At 38.7% G+C, this 19,428-nt stretch overlaps 4 annotated features.

The window, feature by feature from the left end:
- Window positions 555–684: an enhancer, noted in NCBI's record as "active region_2250". NCBI's record gives its function as "activates an Ori minimal core promoter by ATAC-STARR-seq in GM12878 lymphoblastoid cells {active_cell/tissue: GM12878}" and the evidence as "EXISTENCE:reporter gene assay evidence [ECO:0000049][PMID:35858748]".
- Window positions 555–1,153: a biological region, named in NCBI's record as "H3K4me1 hESC enhancer GRCh37_chr1:186481023-186481524".
- Window positions 652–1,153: an enhancer, noted in NCBI's record as "H3K4me1 hESC enhancer chr1:186481023-186481524 (GRCh37/hg19 assembly coordinates)". NCBI's record gives its function as "activates a minimal SCP1, AML or CMV promoter by ChIP-STARR-seq in primed H9 embryonic stem cells {active_cell/tissue: H9 hESC(primed)}" and the evidence as "EXISTENCE:reporter gene assay evidence [ECO:0000049][PMID:30033119]".
- Window positions 725–844: an enhancer, noted in NCBI's record as "active region_2249". NCBI's record gives its function as "activates an Ori minimal core promoter by ATAC-STARR-seq in GM12878 lymphoblastoid cells {active_cell/tissue: GM12878}" and the evidence as "EXISTENCE:reporter gene assay evidence [ECO:0000049][PMID:35858748]".

Below are 19,428 nucleotides of genomic sequence, written 5' to 3'. Positions count from 1 at the left end.
TGCAGAGACCTGCTGAGAGGCATGCCTGCTGGGCCATTGGTATAGTTTTTGAGACTCAGGTCCGTGAACAGTATTCCCTTACAGGCCCAGTACATTCCTTGAGTCTTCCCCGGTCCATCTGTGCTGGAAAGCCATATCAACCACAGAGTCCTTGTGAGACTTGTGGCAAGCTAAGAGTGTTTCCTTTTGCTGAGACAGCTGCATTGGTCACAGGCTCAGGGAACACAACCATCAGTCTGCTTAGAACCATGGAAGGCCCTCTGAAAAGAAAAGCAGGCACAAAGCTGGATGGTGAAGACTAAAATAAATACCTAATCCCTCAATGTACAGACATTGTCACACATCCATAAGCATCAAAAACACTGAGGGAAAAACATCCTCCCCTAGCCAAGGGAAGCCATGAGGGACTGTGCCATGAGGAACGGTGCACCCGGGCCCAAATACTATGCTTTTCCCGTGGTCTTTGCAAACCGCAGACCAGGAGATTCCCTCAGGTGCCTATGCCAACAGGTCCCTGGGTTTCAAGCACAAAACCAGGCAGCCATTTGGGCAGACATAGAGCTAGTTTCAGGAGTTATTTTCACACCCCAGTGGTGCCTGGAACGCCAGCGAGACAGAAGTGACACTCCCCTGGAAAGGGGGCTGAAGCCAAGGAGCCAAGTGGTCTAGCTCAGCGGCTCACACCCCCACAGAGCCCAGCAAGAAACGATCTACTGGCTTGAAATTCTCGCTGGCAGCACCAGAATCTGAAGTCTACCTGGGACACTCGAGCTTGGTGGGGGAAGGGTGTCGCCATTACTGAGGCTTGAGTAAGTGGTTTTCCCCTCACAGTGTAAACAAACCCATGGGGAAGTTAAAACTGGGTGGAGCCCTCTGCAGCTCAGCAAAGCCGCTGTAGCCAGACTGCCTCTCTAGATTCCTCCTCTCTAGACAGGGCATCTTTGAAAAAAAGGCAGCAGCCCCAGTCAGGGGCTTCCAGATAAAATTCCCATCTCCCTGGGACACAGCACCCTGGGGGAAAGGGTGGCTGTGGGCAGAGCTTCAGCAGACTTAAGCATTCCTGCCTGCTGGCTCTGTGCAGTGGATCTCCCAGCACAGCGTTCGAGCTCTGCTAAGGGTCAGACTGCCTCCTCAAGTGGGTCCCTGACCACCTTGTCTCCTGACTGGGAGACATCTCCCAGCAGGGGTCAACAGACACCTCATATAGGAGAGCTCTGGCTGGCATCTGGTGGGTGCCCCTCTGGGATAAATCTTCCAGAGGAAGGAACAGGCAGCAATCTTTGCTGTTCTGGAGCCTTCACTGGTGATACCCAGGCAAACAGGGCCTGGAGTGGACCTCGAGGAAACTCCAGCAGACCCGCAACACAGGGGCCTGACTGATAGAAGGAAAACTAACAAACAGAAAGGAATAGCATCAACATTAACATCAATAAAAAGGACGTCCACTCAGAAACCATATATGAAGGTCACCAATATCAAAGACCAAAGGTATATAAATCCATGATGATGGGGAGAAATCAGTGCAAAAAGGCTGAAAATTCCAAAAACCAGAATGCCCCTTCTCCTCCAAAGGATCACAACTCCTCGCCAGCAAAGGAGCAAAACTAGATGGAGAATGAGCTTGATGAATTGGCAGAAGTAGGCTTCAGAAGGTGAGTAAACGCAAACTCCTCCAAGCTAAAGGTGCATGTTCTAAACCAATTCAAGGAAGCTAAGAACCTTGAATAACAGGTAGACAAATTGCTAACTAGAATAACCAGTTTAGAGAAGAATAAAAATGACCTGATGGAACTGAAAAATACAGCACAAGAACTTCATGAAGCATACGGAGGTATTAATAGCAAATCAATCAAGTGGAATAAAGGATATCAGAGATTGAAGATCAACTTAATGAAATAAAGTATGAAGAGAGATTGGAGAAAAATGAATGAAAAGGAACAAACGAAGCCTCCAAGAGATATGGGACTATGTGAAAAGACCAAACCTACATTTGATTGGTGCACCTGAAAGTGATGGGGAGAATAGAACCAAGTTGGAAAACACTCTTCAGGATATTTTCCAGGAGAACTTCTCTGACCTAGCAAGACAGACCAATACTCAAATTCAGGAAATAGCGAACACCACAAAGATACTCCTCGAGAAGAGCAACCCCAAGACACATAATCATCAGATTCACCAAGGTTGAAATGAAGGAAAAAATGTTAAGGGCAGCCAGAGAGAAAGTTCAGGTTACCCACAAAGGGAAACCCATCAGACTAACAATGGATCTCACTGAAGAAACCCTATAAAACAGAAGAGAGTGGTGCCAATATTCAACATTCTGAAAGAAAAGAATTTTCAACCCAGAATTTCATATCCAGACAAACTAAGCTTCCTAAGTGAAGGAGAAATAAAATCCTTTACAGACAAGCAAATGCTGAGAGATTTTGTCACCACCAAGCCTGCCTTACAGAGCTCCTTACAAGAGCTCCTGAAGGAAGCACAAAATATTGAAAGGAACAACTGGTACCAGCAACTGCAAAAACATACCAAACTGTAAAGACCATAGACACTATGGAGAAACTGCATCAACTAACAGACAAAATAACCAGCTAGCATCATAAAGACAGGATCAAAGTCACACATAACAATATTAACCTTAAATGTAAATGGGCTAAATGCCCCAATTAAAAGACACAGACTGGCAAATTGGATAAGGAGCCAAGTCCCATCAGTGTGCTGTATTCAGGAGACCCATCTCACATGCAAAAACACACATAGGCTCAAAATAAAGGGATGGAGGAATATTTACCAAGCAAATGGAAAGCAAAAAAAAAAAAAAAAAAAGCATGGGTTGCAATCCTAGTCTATGATAAAAAAGACATTAAACCAACACAGATCAAAAGAGACAAAGAAGGGCATTACATAATGGTAAAGGGATCAATGCAACAAGAAGAGCTAACTATCCTAATTATATATTCACCCAATACAGGAGAACCCAGATTCATAAAGCAAGTTCTTAGAGACTTACAAAGAGACTTAAACTCCCACACGATAATAGTGGGAGATATTAACACCCCACTGTCCATATTAGACAATCAATGAGACAGAATATAAACAAGGCTATTCAGGACTTGAGCCCAGCTCTGGACCAAGCAGACCTAAGAGATATCAACAGAACCCTCTGCCCAAAATCAATATAATATACATTCTTCTCAGCACCACATCACACTACTTCTAAAATTGACCACATAATTGGAAGTAAAAAACTCCTCAGCAAATGCAAAAGAACAGAAATCATAACAAACAGTCTCTCAGACCACAGTGCAATCAAATTAGGACTCAAGATTAAGAAACTCTCTCAAAACTGCACAATTACATGGAAACTGAACAACCTGCCCCTGAATGACTACTGGGTAAATAACTAAATTAAGGCAGAAATAAGTAAGTTCTTTGAAACCAATAAAGACAAAGACACAACATACCAGAATCTCTGAGACACAGCTAAAGCAGTGTTTAGAGGGAAATTTCTAGCACTAAATACCCACAAGAGAAAGCAAAAAAGATCTAAAGTCAACACCCTAACATCACAATTAAAAGAACTAGAGAAGCAAGAGCACACAAATTCAAAGGTTAGCAAAAGACAAGAAATAACTAAGATCAGAGCAGAACTGAAGGAGATAAAGACACAAAAAACCCTTCAAAAATCAAGAAATCCAGGAGCTGGTTCTTTGAAAAGATCCACAAAATAGACCACTAGACAGACTAAAAAAGAAGAAGGAGAAAAGAATCAAATAGATGCAATAAAAAATGATAAAGGGGACATCACCACTGATCCCACAGAAATACAAACTACCATCAGAGAATAATATAAACACCTCTATGCAAATAAAACCTGAAAATGTAGAAGAAATGGATAAATTCCTGGACACATACACCCTCTCAAGTCTAAACCAGGAAGAAGTCAAATCCCTCAATACGCCAATAACAAGTTCTGAAATTGAGGCACTAATTAATAGCCTACTGACCAAAGAAAGTCCAGGACCAGACAGATTCACAGTTGAATTCTACCAGAGGTACAAAGAGAAGCTGGTACCATTCCTTCTGAAACTATTCCAAACAATAGAAAAAGAGGGAATCCCCCATAATTCATTTTATGAGGCCAGTATCATCATGATATGAAAACCTAGCAGAAACACACACACGAAAAAAATTTCAGGCCAATATCCCTGATGAACAATGATGCAAAAATCCTCAATAAAATACTGGCAAACCCCATGCAACAGCACATCAAAAAGCTTATCCACCATGATCAAGTCAGCTTCATCCCTGAGATGCAAGGCTGGTTCAACATATACAAATCAATAAAGGTAATCCATCACATAAACATAACCAATGACCAAAACCACATATTATCTCCATAGATGCGGAGAAGGCCTCCAATAAAGTTCAGCACCCCTTCATGCTAAAAACTCTCAATAAACCCCTTCATGCTAAAAACTCTCAATAAACTGATGGGACGTATCTCAAAATAATAAAAGCTATTTATGAGAAACCCACAGCCAATATCATAGTGAATGGGCAAAAACTGGAAGCATTCCCTTTGAAAACCAGCACAAGACAAGGATGCCCTCTCTCACTACTCCTATTCAATATAGTGTTGGAAGTTCTGGCTAGGGCAGTCAGGCAAGAGAAAGAAATAAAGGGTATTCAAATAAAAAGAAAGGAAGTCAAATTGTCTCTGCAGATGACATGATTGTATATTTAGAAAACCCCATCGTCTCAGCCCAAAATCTCCTTAAGCTGATAAGCAACTTTAGCACAGTCTCAGGATACAAAATCAATGTGCAAAAATCACAAGCATTCCTATACACCAAAAATAGACAAACAGAGAGCCAAATCATGAGTGAACTCCCATTCACAATTGCTACAAAGACAATTAAATACCAAGGAATACAACTTTAAAGGGATGTGAAGGACCTCTTCAAGAAGAGCTACAAACCACTGCTCAATGAAATCAGAGAGAACACAAACAAATGGAAGAACATTCCATGCTCATGGATAGGAAGAATCAATATCGTGAAATGGTCATACTGCCCAAAGTAATTTATAGATTCAATGCTATCCCCATCAAGCTACCATTAACTTTCTTCACAGAATTAGGAAAAACTACTTTAAATTTCATATGGAACAAAAAAAGAGCCTGCATAGCCAAGACAATCCTAAGCAAAAAGAATAAAGCTGGAGGCATCATGCTACCTGACTTCAAAGTATACTACAAGGCTACAGTAACCAAAACAGCATGGTACTGGTACCAAAACAGAGAGAGACCAATGGAACAGAACAGAGGCCTCACAAATAAAACCACACATCTACAACCATCTGATCTTTGACAAACCTGACAAAAACAAGAAATGAGGAAAGGATTCCCTATTTAATAAATGGTGCTGGGAAAACAGGCTAGCCATATGCAGAAAGCTGAAACTGGAGCCCTTCCTACACCTTATACAAAAATTAATTCAAGATGGATTAAAGACTTAAATGTAAGACCTAAAACCATAAAAACCCTATAAGAAAACCTAGGCAATACCATTCAGGACATAGGCATGGGCAAAGACTTCATGACTAAAACACCAAAAGCAATGGCAACAAAAACCAAAATAGACAAATGGGATCTAATTAAACTAAAGAGCTTCTGCACAGCAAAAGAAACTATCATCAGAGTGAACAGGCAACCTACAGAATGGGAGAACATTTTTGCAATCAATCTGACAAAGGGCTAATATCCAGAATCTACAAAGAACTTAAATTTACAAGAAAAAAAACCAACCTCATCAAAAAGTAGGTAAAGGATATGAACAGACACTTCTCAAAAGAAGAAATTATGCAGCCAACAAACGTATGAAAAAAAGCTCATCATCACTGGTCATTAGAGAAATGCAAATCAAAACCACAGTGAGATACCATCTCATGCCAGTTAGAATGGTGATCATTAAAAAGTCAGGAAACAACAGATGCTGGAGAGGATGTGGAGAGATAGGAAAGTTTTTACACTGTAGGTGGGAGTGTAAATTAGTTCAACCATTGTGGAAGACAGTGTGGCAATTCCTCAAAGATCTAGAACTAGAAATACCATTTGACCCAGTGATCCCATTACTGGGTATATACCCAAAGGATTATAAATCATTCTACTATAAAGACACATGCACATGTATGTTTATTGTGGCACTGTTCACAATAGCAAAGACTTGAAACCAACCCAAATGCCCACCAATGATAGGCTGGATAAACCAAATGTGGCATGGAATATTATGTAGCCATAAAAAAGGATGAGTTATGTCCTTTGCAGGAAAATGGATGAAGCTGGAAACCATCACTCTCAGCAAACTAACACAGGATCAGAAAAACAAACACTGCATTTTCTCACTCATAAGTGGGAGGTGAACAATGAGAACACATGGACACAGGGAGTGGAACGTCACACAGTGGGGCATGTTGGGGGGTGGGGGGCTAGGGGAGGGATAGCATTAGGAGACATACCTAATGTAGATGATGGATTGATGGGTGCAGCAAAACACCATGGCACATATATACCTATGTATGAAACCTGCATGTTCTGCACATGTACCCCAGAACTTAAAGTATAATTATAATAAAAAAATACAAAAAGTAGCCACCAATGGTGCCTCATACCTGTAATCTCAGTTACTTGGGATGTTGAGGCATGGGAATCACTTGAACCCAGGAGGCAGAGGTTGCAGTGACCTGATATCTTGTCACTGCACTCCAGCCTGGGCAACAGAGTGAGATCCTGTCTCAAAAAAAAAAAAGAAAAGAAAAAGGGTGAGATGGAAGGATCACTTGAGCCCAGGAGTTCAAGGCTGCAGTGAGTTGTGATCACACTGTTGAATTCTAGCCTGGATGACAGAGCACAATCCTGTGTCTAAAAATAATAGTAATAATAATAGTAACTTTCCAAACCTAGAAAAAGATATAAATATTTAAGTACAGGAAGGTCAAAGGTCATCAATCAGAATACCCAATGAGAATACCCAAATAAGAATACCCAAAGGTATATTGTACTCAAACTCACACATCAGAGACAAAGAGGATTCTGAAAGCAGCAAGAAAAAATAAGCAAGTTAACATATAGGGAGATCCAATACACCTGACAGCAGACTATTCAGCAAAACCTGAGAAGCCAGGAGTGGGTGGGACAATATATTCAGAGTGCTGAAGGAAAACAAACAAACAAACAAAAAACCCTGCAAACCAAGAATACTGTAGCCAACAAAACTATCCATCCGGAATAAAAGTGAGATAAGGACTTTCTCAAAAAAAGCTAAGGGAATTTATTACTACCAGACTTGTTCTAAAATAAACAATAAAGGGAATTCTTCAAACCAAAATAAAAGGATGCTACCATGATTGTTACACTGATATTGTAATCATGATGTGTAAACCACTAATATTTTTACTAAGAAGACCAAAAGATAAAACTGTTAAAAATACTAATGACTACAATGATTTGTTAAGAGATTGGCAATATAAAATGTAAATTATGACATCAAAAATTCAAAATGTGAGGGGAGAAGGGAGTTGTTGTGTAAAGGAATTTTTATTGTCATTAGTTTGTAAAAGTAAACAGATGAAGATGTACTAGGCAAATGCTAATCACAAGAAAACTGAGTCATATTGATAAAATATAAAACAGGTTTATAATATAAGAAATATTGGTAGGGATAGACAATAAGAGTAACAATGGAACTTAAACTTGAGATAAATGGCCTCTTTCTTCTGCAAGTCTATGTAATAGTCCCAATATTTTCAGACTTTCTTCCCCTTTCTCAGTGCCCCCAATGAAAAAGCCACTGAATTTCTACTTCCTTTCCTCCTGTTTTGCTTGTGTCCTCTCTTCACTAGTCTCATGGTAGTTTTTAATCCTTCTTTCATTAAAATTTCATGAGTTTTTCATGATTATGATTCATCAGTCCAGAAATAAGTTACAGGAATCAATATTTTCATAAAGATTCAGAAGGAATTCTAATGTGCATCCAAGATTGAGAACTGCTGGCCTAGAGCAACTGAAGGGGAAGCACTGAAGTCTTCTGCTCTTGTGGGTCTCACCAAATGTACTTCCTAACTAAAAAATAATAGTCATAATAATAATAACAGAAAGATATAAATATTTAAGCACAGGAAGGTCAATCAATCAGAATCAACCCAAATAAGAATAAATGAAGGTATATTATAATCAGACTCACAAAGGTCAAAGACAAAGGGAGGATCCTGAAAGCAGCAAGAGAAAATAAGCAAACAACATATAGGGAGATCCTATCTGAAGCACTGCGTTTTGCTGCCTCCCAGTTCCTCATGACCCATCCTCACCCTCAATTCTGCCACTCTGAACTTGGAGAAATTTATAGGGCTCTGCAAGGGATTCCAACCTTTCCCAGGTGAGCTTTGCCTTGAAATTAAGTGGATTTAAGTTTGGTCAGTCTAAATGTTCTCCAAGCCTGTTCTACATATTGTAGCCAGAGCCTTCTTTCTGACCTCAATCTAGTATCCTTCTGCCCCACTACCTAACGTGTACCCTTCAATGGTCTTTCACAGCCTTTAAATAAGGTGCAAATTCTTTGACTTGGCTTATAAAGCCCTCCTTGATCTGGACCTTGCCTTCCTATCCAGACTCAGCTCCTACCACTAGTTCCCTCAAATGTGATGTGCCAGTAATATGGATCTTCATTCTTTCTTTACACTCATTGTGCTTTCTAGTCTTATGTCTTACATATGTTTCCTCTCCTTAAAACTCATTGGCCCTCCTCCCTCCACTGCCCTTGACTACCCCTCCCCTTCTACTCTTTACCTGCCTAAGTCTAACTCCCCATTCAGCTCTTAATATATATTTTACTCCCTGCAGATGGCCCTGAACTTCTAGGATAGATTCCACTGTTTCCAAGCAACCCAACATCTGTATTTTTGAACATTAATCTGACTTATAATTAAATTATTGTAAAGTACTATTTGTCTGACTTCCAGGAGGGCAGAGATGAGTGTGGCTTGTTCACTTCTGGCTGTCCAGCAATGAGCACAACACTGGAAATGAGGGGAATGCTCAATAAATATTGAATGAATGAATGAATGGTTACCTGATGGGTAAAGTTTCTAGTTTTGCCTACCTAGTTCCCTTTCCCCATTCTCAGACCCTGCAAATACTGAAGCTTAGGTGAGTTAAAAGGCAGAGAATTTACGATGTGAGTCAAATTTGAGTAGACAAACTTTTCTGAATAAAATGGCATGAGAAATGCTAACGAGGTTAATCTTCAGTGAGAAATCGTTGATTGTCTTAGATGCTCTGACGTGAAGCCAGTTCATACTGAAGGCTTCTGTTCCTCCCCCTTTCATCCTGAGGATTCAAATCCCTGTGCTTTGCTTATAGTCATTGTTTACATAGTCCATCTAGATATATTTTTCCTTTTTAAAATTATATAAATCCTTCTCTCTTGTGCCTTCCATGGCATCTTATGTATTGAAAGTAAACCTTTGCTAATGACAGTATACTATCTGCTGTCCACTTCATATGGCAAACCTGGTCATTTGTCTGGAATGAAAGTTTTGTCTCTACAAACTTATATGCCAAGCATGTCAATTACCCTTGATTCATTCCACACTCATTCATCGCCCTTCTCAAAATAGCTCTTAGAAACTCACTCTTCTCATAAGTAAATAGAAGAATTCCAAGAAGTGGAATGAAACAGGGAAGAGAATTCAAGTGAAGCATGATCATAAAACACCCACACATCAACAACATACTATTACTCCCTCCGATACACATGATCATTGTCTCTTAAAAGCAAAACAAACAAAAACAAAAAGTCCAGGTTAACTGTCCTTAAAATAATGTCTCAGAAATCCTACCATTGTTTTCCCAGAAATATTTCTGTCATAGAGTCTGATAAATTCGACATTACTTTTCATTGTAAATATGAATAAAATATCACTGCTATACATTGAGACAAAAATCTTTGTTACTTCTATTTTAATTAAAATGTCATTAATGTTTAATAAGAAAAATTATATATGCTACTTACATATCTTACATACCCTAAATAACAGGATAACCCATGTAACTTTTTTAAATGTTAAAGGGAATAATTCAATGCAAAAAAAAAAAAAAAACATTGTGACCAAAAAAGAGAATGGACATGAATGCCTAATGAGCCAAAAGTATATCCTATGGCTCAAAAAGTAACTAGAAAAACCCTAAATTAACAATGATACATCAGAAAAATACAAATAAACTCAGTAAAATCTCAAATATAGCTAAAACAATAACTAAACTGAACAGTTAAGAATTGTGAAACATTAAGCTAAAGGCATTTCTATGTGCACCACACTAGTGATCTATATTGAGAACGTAATATCCCAAGATAAAGGAATTTTTATACCTGAACATTCACACTTAGTAACAGAATTTACTAGCTGGAAACAGACAAGATGATAAGCTAAAACTTGTATGAAAGTTACATGGAATTGTGGGACTATTGAAAAGTTCAAACCACTATATTCAGCCTCTCCTTTTAATGGACTTTTCTATTTCAGAGTAGACAAATGGCTCTAATTCTCCATTCATCAGAAAAAAATTCAGGAATTAAGGTCATTATTCTTATGAACTCCCAATTTAGAGAACATGTGCTTCCAATCTTCTAATATGGGGAGATTTCTGCCAGTGTTTCCAGAAAAAAAAATTATATGCACATGTAATTGTTCATACTGTCTTACACTGTTTATAACCCACTCATTTCCTCTTTTCACTCTTAGCTCTGTTCTAGCCATGAGCATATGTTACTAATAGCTCAGTACCATGTTATGCTTTTTTTTGGCTAGGGCATCTTTTCTTGCCATGGGCCTCAATCAAAACCAGAAGTCTTTCCAGTCACCTGGCAAATGGCAAAAGCAGGATACACAGGTGGGTATATGCTCATTCCAAGGCATATCAAGTGTTGGGACTCTTTCTCAGTGGTACAAGGCCCAAAGTATTGTAAATTGTTTTTCCCTTTGGTGGGGATACCTTGACATCTTCCAGATGTTCTCTTAGTGTTACAGCAGAATCTAGTATCAAGGTTGTCTGGCCTTCCTTTCATTCAAGGGAATCTGATCCTGTAAACAAGTAATTTTAGGAATTGGCTAAGGGATCTGATCACGACTTTTTTCTTTTCATGGCTTAAGGCTTGTTTGTTAGACCTGGAGTTTTTGTTTCTTTTATGTTATGTGGTTGCTCTACTCCCAATTTTTTCCTAGGGAACTCATCCACAATCAATTAGAAGGAGGCAGATAGTTTTTCCAGGCAGGCCAGTCTGATGATCATGCCAAACCACTGCCTGTGATGTGAAGGTCTTGCCTGCTCTGTCCCACTCCCATGGTACTGCTCACTGTAAATTAAGTATTTCATAACAGAATTTCTGGACTAGAGAGAACAGTATTTTAAACAGATGTATTCAAACAGTTGTTTTAAAGATACTTGTGTTTTCTTCAATATGTATTTCAGGTGTTTGCTGAATAGGCTATCCTCTAGACCCTTTAGATTTGACTATGTCTATAATTTCTAAAGTTAAACATTTCTATTATTCTAACATGTCAACTTTCTTTGACACCTGAATGCATTTGCATGTTTCAATTTGTGTGTGTGTGTTAACTAAGACAAAAATAACTGTTACAATCAACTTAGCTAGTCTATTTTATACAGAATCTCTGGTACATTAACCACATTGACAAATTCAGTAAAACTAAAATCATGCTGCACTCTCCTTGGCCAAGCGTCCATAAAATCTATTCCCACATATATTTTCCACTTTAGGATTAACAAACATTGGCATTTTCCTGCTTGCCATTCTTTTGTTGTGCAAAATTTCATTTTCCAAGATTGATTTTGGACTCTGGGGCATGTCAGGGTATAATTCTAATTAATGATTTATGGATGAAAATATGTGGGGCATGAGCAAGACTGTTGACTTTTTTCTCAATGTGAACTCCCTCAGATGAAGCTACATGGGCATGTACCAGCATGAAAACAAACTAGCTTTCTGAATAACAAAGAAGTGTCATTTTCTGTCAAGAAAGGCTCAGTGGGGACTTAGAGGGGTTTGGGGGTTTGAATTACTCTGATGCCTCGGGTTTACTTTTTCCTAATTGATGCACTAACTTTCATGTAAGAAATATAGCAAATTCTGATAGTAGTCATTTTTGCTGTGCACCAAAAATTTTCAATTCTTATACCGGATGGAATTGTACATTCTTGCCCCCTTGAAATTACTAAAGTACATATGACTTGCTTTAGCCAAAGATATATGAGCAAATGTGACCTCTCTCACTTCCTTTAGATGCCTTAAGAGCCAGTGCACAATTCCTCACACTTCCTTTCTTTCCCTTTGCCACAATGACCAGCAATGCCCCAGATAGTCACTGCTGCACCAGGCTGGGTCCTGCAGTAAGGATGATGCAGAGCAGAACTGCCAACCAACCTGCAATGGATACGCAGTACAAGTGAGAAATAAATTCTTAAGTTTTAAGCCACTGACATCATGGAGTTATTTTGTTACTACAGTGTAACCCAGCTCATCCTGACTGATATGACTGTGAATTCAACTGGTGATTAAACACTGAGTTTAAATCTTGGCTCTCTCAGTTCAGTATGTACAAGATATAGGAGATATTTTCAACAACTTTACATAAAGTCCCTACGTTTACATCCATTTTTTAAAATGATATTTTAATATCTTGGGCTTATCATTTTTTTTGCTTTTATTCTTCCAATGCCATCAGAAGGAGCCTCCTTACACTGCTGTTTTTGAATTCCTCACAACCATTATGTTATTTCATGGTAGAACTAGTCTAAGCCTTCAAACTTTATCTTTTAGATATTTTTTCCCAAGTGACTGTAGGTGATAACTCGCCTAGCCTCATTATCACAGGGCATCATATTTGATATCTCACCCTTCCCTCAGGATCTTTGTCCTGAGATTCCTCATCACGATGTCCCTTGCTTAAAAGCAGCAGAAACTGACTTTACTGTAAACAAAAGAGAGTCTATTAGAAGGATATGGGCCTCTCAGAGAAGACAGGAAGTTAGGGGACCAGAATTGATATGGGAAAGAAACCAAGGGAACTCTGGAAGACAAGGGAAAAAGAAGCAGGAGATAATAACTATCTTAGAGCTGCAATAGCGGTTGCTTTCATGAAAGACTTTTGGCTGTTCTCTCTGTCCTTGTATCACTTGCTCAGACCTCAAAGCCTTGGGGAAAACTTTCCAATTAGTGGAGCTTAAATCACAAGCTTACCAACTAGCATTTCAAAGAAGTGGGAAAGAATTGTTCTGACCCATTAAAGTTACAGGCAGAGGTGGGCCTGAAATTCCCTCCTAACACAATTATACACAATGGGAGAAAGGTAAATCCTCAACTAAATCAGTTCTACTAGAAAGAAGAATAGATGCTAATCAACACCACCACCAAAAAAAGATAGTTGTTTGCTAGAAAGTGAGAAAAGGAGAGAGTAATATGGTCCTTAACAAAAGAGAGTTTTATAGCTTCCTTATGTTATTAGGTTATTATAAGAACACAGGAAGTATTCACTTATCAAATGCATTTCTTTCATGCAGGGTCATGTAGTTGAAGACACTTTAGAATAATACAAACCTTAATTCAAACCAGGGTCTGTCATTAAGTGGATGCTTTGGGGCAAGTTCCTTAACCTTTTTGCATCTGTTACCCCGAGAGTTGTCTAGGGGATTCTGAGTTAATATGTATAGAATGCCTGACACGTATCCTGCACTAAATAAACATTAGTTTTCATCCCCTGTGTATTATTAGTCAGGGTTTGTCAGAGGAACAGAACTAATAGAATGTGTGTGTGTGTGTGTGTGTGTGTGGTGTGTACCATAGATAGATAGATAGACAGATAGATAGATTTATTTTATATATAAAGAGATTTATTTTTAAGGAATTGGCTCACTGAGAATAGAGGCTAAAAGCCCAAAATCTACAGGGCGGGCCAGTAGAGACCCAGAGAAGGGCCAGTGCTACAATTCAAGTCCAAAGGCCATCAAGCTAAAGACTTAGGAGGGAGCCAGTATTGTAGTTCAAATATAAAAGTAGCTACTTGCAGAATTCCATCTTGCTCAGGGGAGGTGAGTCATATGTTCTATTCACGCCAACAACTGATTAGATATGGGCCACCTTTATCATGGAGGGCAATCTGCTTTACTCAAAGTTCACAAACTTAAACATTAATCTCATCCCAAAACACCCTTATAGAAATATCCAGAATAATTTGTGACTACATATCTGAGTACTGTGGCACAGCAAGTTGACATATAAAATAAGCCATCTCACCCTAAGAGATGTTATTATTCCACAAAATAGTCTGTCTTTTTCTGGATTCAGCAAAGCACTTCATATTCTGTTAAAACTAGTTGGGAAAAAGGTGCCTGAGACTGGACCTATTGTAGTGATAGGGGTGGCAGGCGTGAGATATGAAATAGCAGTTCCCAGAGGTCAAGTACTCAAGTTTTAGAAAAGGCTCACTCTCAAGGAGTCCTTTGCTATAGCAAGAAAAAGGTATGGCTAGACTCCAAAGAAAATGGTAATATCACCAACACCAACTTCTATCAGCAAATTTTTAACCTGATTTAAAAAAAAAATGAGCTCATTATCTGCAAGCTTGTGACTGAAGAAAACAAATGGCTTTAGGTAACATGGCACATACCAAGAGATGAACAAATATTTACAAACAAGATTCTCATGAAACACGTTCCCCAGGCTGAAAAAGCAGGTAGGGTTCACAAGAGGCTCCTGGATGACCGCTGTAGTTGGACTGTGTCTCCCAAATTTCATGTGTTGGAAACTTAATCCGCAATGTGACAGTGTTGAAAGGTACGACCTGTAAGAGGTTACTGGATCATGAGGGCTCTTTCCTCATGAATAGATTAATGCATTCATGGATTAATGAATTAGTGAGTTATCATGGGGGAGGAGCTGGAGGCTTTCAAAGAAAAGGAAGAGAGATCACAGCAAGCGCATTAGCACATGCCTCCCTATTGCCATGTGATGCTCGGGATTCTTCATGGTACCCACCAGAAAGAAGGCGCTCAACAGATGCACTCTCTCAACCTTGGACTTCTCAGGTTTCATAACTGTCAGAAATACATTTCTTTTCTTTATAAATTACCCAGTTTCAGGTCTGTTATAAACCACAGAAAATGGTCTCATAAAATGACTATGCTGAGGCCACTAGTGCTTTAAGAAGCAGCTACAGGCCAAGAAGGAAAAGATTATCCAGACCTTGTCCAAAAAGACAGAGATTAAGAAATAAATCTCCTCCTCTTTTATCTGTACCTAGTGGCTTCATCAACAACAGATGATATTTAGAAAAAAAAAAACCCAAGCTTTTATCGGGGGGAAATGATTAAGGCAAAGAAACAAAATATCTAAGAAATTTAATAATATAAGTGATCAAAATAATACCACTAAATGAAAATTAATGTAATATTTGAATTTAACCATATGAAATTGCTATTTTTTTTTTTACCAGTTTTAACTTATGAAAATGGCAATTTCTTATGCTTCTGTTTAATATAAGAATAAGAGGCCAGGTGCCATGGCTCGTACCTGTAATCCCAGCACTTTGGGAGGCCTAAGCAAGCGGATCCCCTGAGGTCAGGAGTTCAAGACCAGCCCGGCCAATGTGGCAAAACCCCGTCTCTAATAAAAATACAAAAATTAGCCAGTGTGGTGGCAGGCGCCTGTCATCCCAGCTACTCGGGAGCCTGAGGCATGAGAATCACTTGAAACCTGGAGGCGGAGGTTGCAGTGAGCTGAGATCCTGCCACTGCATTCCAGCCTGGGAGATAGAGTGAAACTCTCTCAAAAAATAAATAAATAAATAAATAAATAAATAAATAAATAAATAAATAAAAAGAGTCAACGCCGGCACAGTGGCTCACTCCTATAATCCCAGCACTTTGGGAGGCTGAAGCAGGCAGATCACTTGAGCCCAGGAGTTAGAGACCAGCCTGGCCAACATGGCAAAACCCTGTCTCTACTGAAAATACAAAAATTAGCTGGGCATGGTGGCACACACCTGTAATCTCAGCTACTCGGGAGGCTGAGGCACAAAAATCACTTGAACTTTGCAGGCGCAGGTTGCAGTGAGCCGAGATTGCACCACTGCACTCTAACCTGGTAAGAGTAAGACCCTGTCTCAAAAAAAAAAAAAAAAAAAAAGAAAAGGGTTAAGAGTCAAGATGAAGCAAACAGGCAAATCCTGTCCTGTAAGTTATATCATCATTCCAAGTCCAAGGGAATATAGTCGATAATTGTGAAAGGGAAGCAGAATTAAATATTTTAAATGCTGACAATTCAATAATATAAAATCATGGCCTTGAAATCTACTAGAGCTAGTAGAACAACTAAATATGATGCTGATGCAGAATGTAATGTGTATCAGACACATTTCTACAATAGAAAGAACTGCTCTCCTTTCTCTTATAAGCAGGGAAGATGGTTTGGCATGGCAAGAACAAGACTCTTTGTGGGCTTGGGGATTAGGGATTGGGGGAGAATAACATATGTTTGTGTATGTATATGTAGGTGTAAATGTGTGTGCATTTGTACATATAGATATAGGAGTATGTATATTTATGTGCATAGATGTGTATGTGTGTAGGTGTGTGTGAAGTAAAATTTTCCAGTCATAATGTGAACAAGATTCTAAAGAAGAGAAATCTTATGCCTCATTACCTCATTCCTGGAGGTCTACATGATATCCTAAGGTCTCCTAAGGACACAAAAGGCAGTTGCAGAATTTAGTTTCTTTCTTCCGAATAGGAAATAGCATGAAGTCTGAACCAAGTCCATTTTCCTCCTTTCACCTTCTCCTTGCCAGTTCTTCACTCCTTCTTTTCCTATCTCCCTTTCAAGAAATATGGGAGCAGGTAAAACCTCACATAAGGGAGGTTCTGGCTGCCCTGTTGCTCCTGATCCAGTCAATTAATGATTTTTGGATGTTCTCCATTGACCTATGACTTATTCTAAAAAGTGATGCACTGGTTTCCCATAGTTCATGGAACCAATTTAACTGTTTTGCTTGTCTAGCTTTGCTTTTAGTTTTTCTCAGTTAAATAAGGAGGCTTACTATGTAAGTTGTTATATTAATCAAGTGGATAAAATAATAATTAATTTACAAAGCCTAAAAGCTTGAATCTAAGGAATTCTTAAATGCCACATCTGTTTTATGATAGTAGAAGATAAAAAAAAATTTTTGAAAGAAAAAAACCCATCATGTTTCCCCAAAGCACTTATTATCTAGGCTTCTACTTCACAAAGATCTGTTAAGCTTTGCAGGTATCATTCACATACCTAAAGATTAGATTTGGGAAAGTAAAGGATGACCAAAGTCCAAGAAAAAATCCTTGATCTGGATAATTCTACAATGTTTTGGAAGCAGTACAAAGAAAAACGCATAATCCTGCTGTTGGACTACAATGCCCAGGAAATGAGTCCGATGACAGCTTTCATCACCTCATTTTCAATTCATGTTATTAGAGAATATTTTACAAAAATAATTTTGAATTAATTCAAGGTATAATAAATTCAAAAGAGGCAAATTTATATTTATTTCAACAAGTATTTAGCATCTACTAAATGCCAACTACTATCAGAGAAAGAAAATTAGTATAAGAGAGTAAAGCTTTAAGGAGTTAAAATGTTTTCTGGGAAGTAGAAACTCCAATTTTGGTAGCAGCCCTATAAAACCTTGGTTCACAAAGTTCCACCAAAGCTAGACATTCCAACATACTTAACTCATGGCTTTTGAGACTGCTTTAAAAATACCTATGCTAGAAACATGAACACACCTACAAAAGTAAGGAGGAAGTACCCATCAAAGAAACCTTGTGGGCCCTTACTTAGGTTTCACAAATATTGGAAAAAACAACCACCTTAAGTTCAGGGAGGACAGAAATGAGTGTTCTCTGAACTAGTTTGTCTCAACAAGCATGCATTTCAACCCCCAACTTGTGGGGGTTCCTGTGGTCATCATGACCCTGGATCCTAGATCAGGATCCTAGATCAGGATCCTGAGATCACTCAGCCCAACACTGCCTCCCCAGAAATCAGTCCCCTTTGGCATAACTACACTAGCCGTACTTGATTCTACTACTACTACTACTACCGGTTTCAGAACATGATGAGTTGTCCAGTAGATTCTTTTCCCCTCTCATTTCACAGATTTCTAACACAGCACGCCATTCTATTCTAATGGGCATGCATTGTTGGAAATTTAACACTGGAGGCTAGGCACTCCAGTTCATGCTTGTAATCCCAGCAGTTTGGGAGGCCAAGGTGGGTGGATCACCTGAGCTGGGGAGTTTGAGACCAGCCTGGGCAACATGTCGAGACCCCATCTCTACAAAAAATACAAAAAATTAGCTGGGGATGGCGGCATGTACCTGTGGTGCCAGCTACTTGGGAGGCTGAGGTGGGAGGATTGCTTGAGCCAGGGAGGTGGAGGTTGCAGTGAGCTGAGATCACACCATTGCGCTCCAACCTGGGTGAAAGAGTGAGACCCTGTCTCAAAAAAAAAAAAAAAGAAAAAAGAAGAAAAAGAAAATTTGACACTGGATGTAAAGAAATAGAGATGGCTTGCTTCTCTTATCAGCGAAACTATGTTTTTATCCCCTGAATAAATAGAACAAATGAAACCAAAGATTTGGCTTTTATCCTTGGTAGCACTACATATAAGGGAGAATATATGCATGTGTGTGTATTTATATACATTTATATGCATATTTATATACATATAAATACAAATATATATTTCATAGATATTTGTTTCATACACATACACACACACACACACACACACACACACATAAATAACAACTCAAGGAAAATTAGAGGACCAAAAAATAATAACATCGTGTTGAATAAAAAGTCCTATGGGAAAGAAGGCAAAAGAATGGCCAAAATTCTATGAAATGAATATAAGAAGCCTTCCTGAAGGAAGGGAAGTACATTCACGATAGAGAACATGGGATGTGCAAGAAGGCATGGAAATAGCATTTATTAAGTTTTAGGTCACCTTAATTTTTACATTCTTAACAATATAGCAGTTCCATAATAATATAATAAATTCTGGGAAAGGGTATTTATTTACCTACATTTTATTATGATTTGATAGAGAAGGAAAATAGGTATCATACAGATACGGAAAAAAAATTTCTGTAGTAGTCTGGATTATGAAAGCTAGATTTTAAATGAAATCAATATTGTCAACATGTAAGTCTAAACTCGCATAAATGTCACTTAAACTTATAGCATTGGCACAACCTTAATTTGAGAAAAATGTTTGGAGTTTCCCTTTTGACTTAAAAGTAATATTTCACTCCTCTTC

The sequence above is a fragment of the Homo sapiens genome, chromosome 1 (assembly GCF_000001405.40).
Source record: "Homo sapiens chromosome 1, GRCh38.p14 Primary Assembly".
Taxonomy (NCBI): Eukaryota; Metazoa; Chordata; class Mammalia; order Primates; family Hominidae; genus Homo; species Homo sapiens.
The sequence above is the reverse complement of the archived record's forward strand: the minus strand, read 5'-3'. Positions and strand labels throughout refer to the sequence as shown.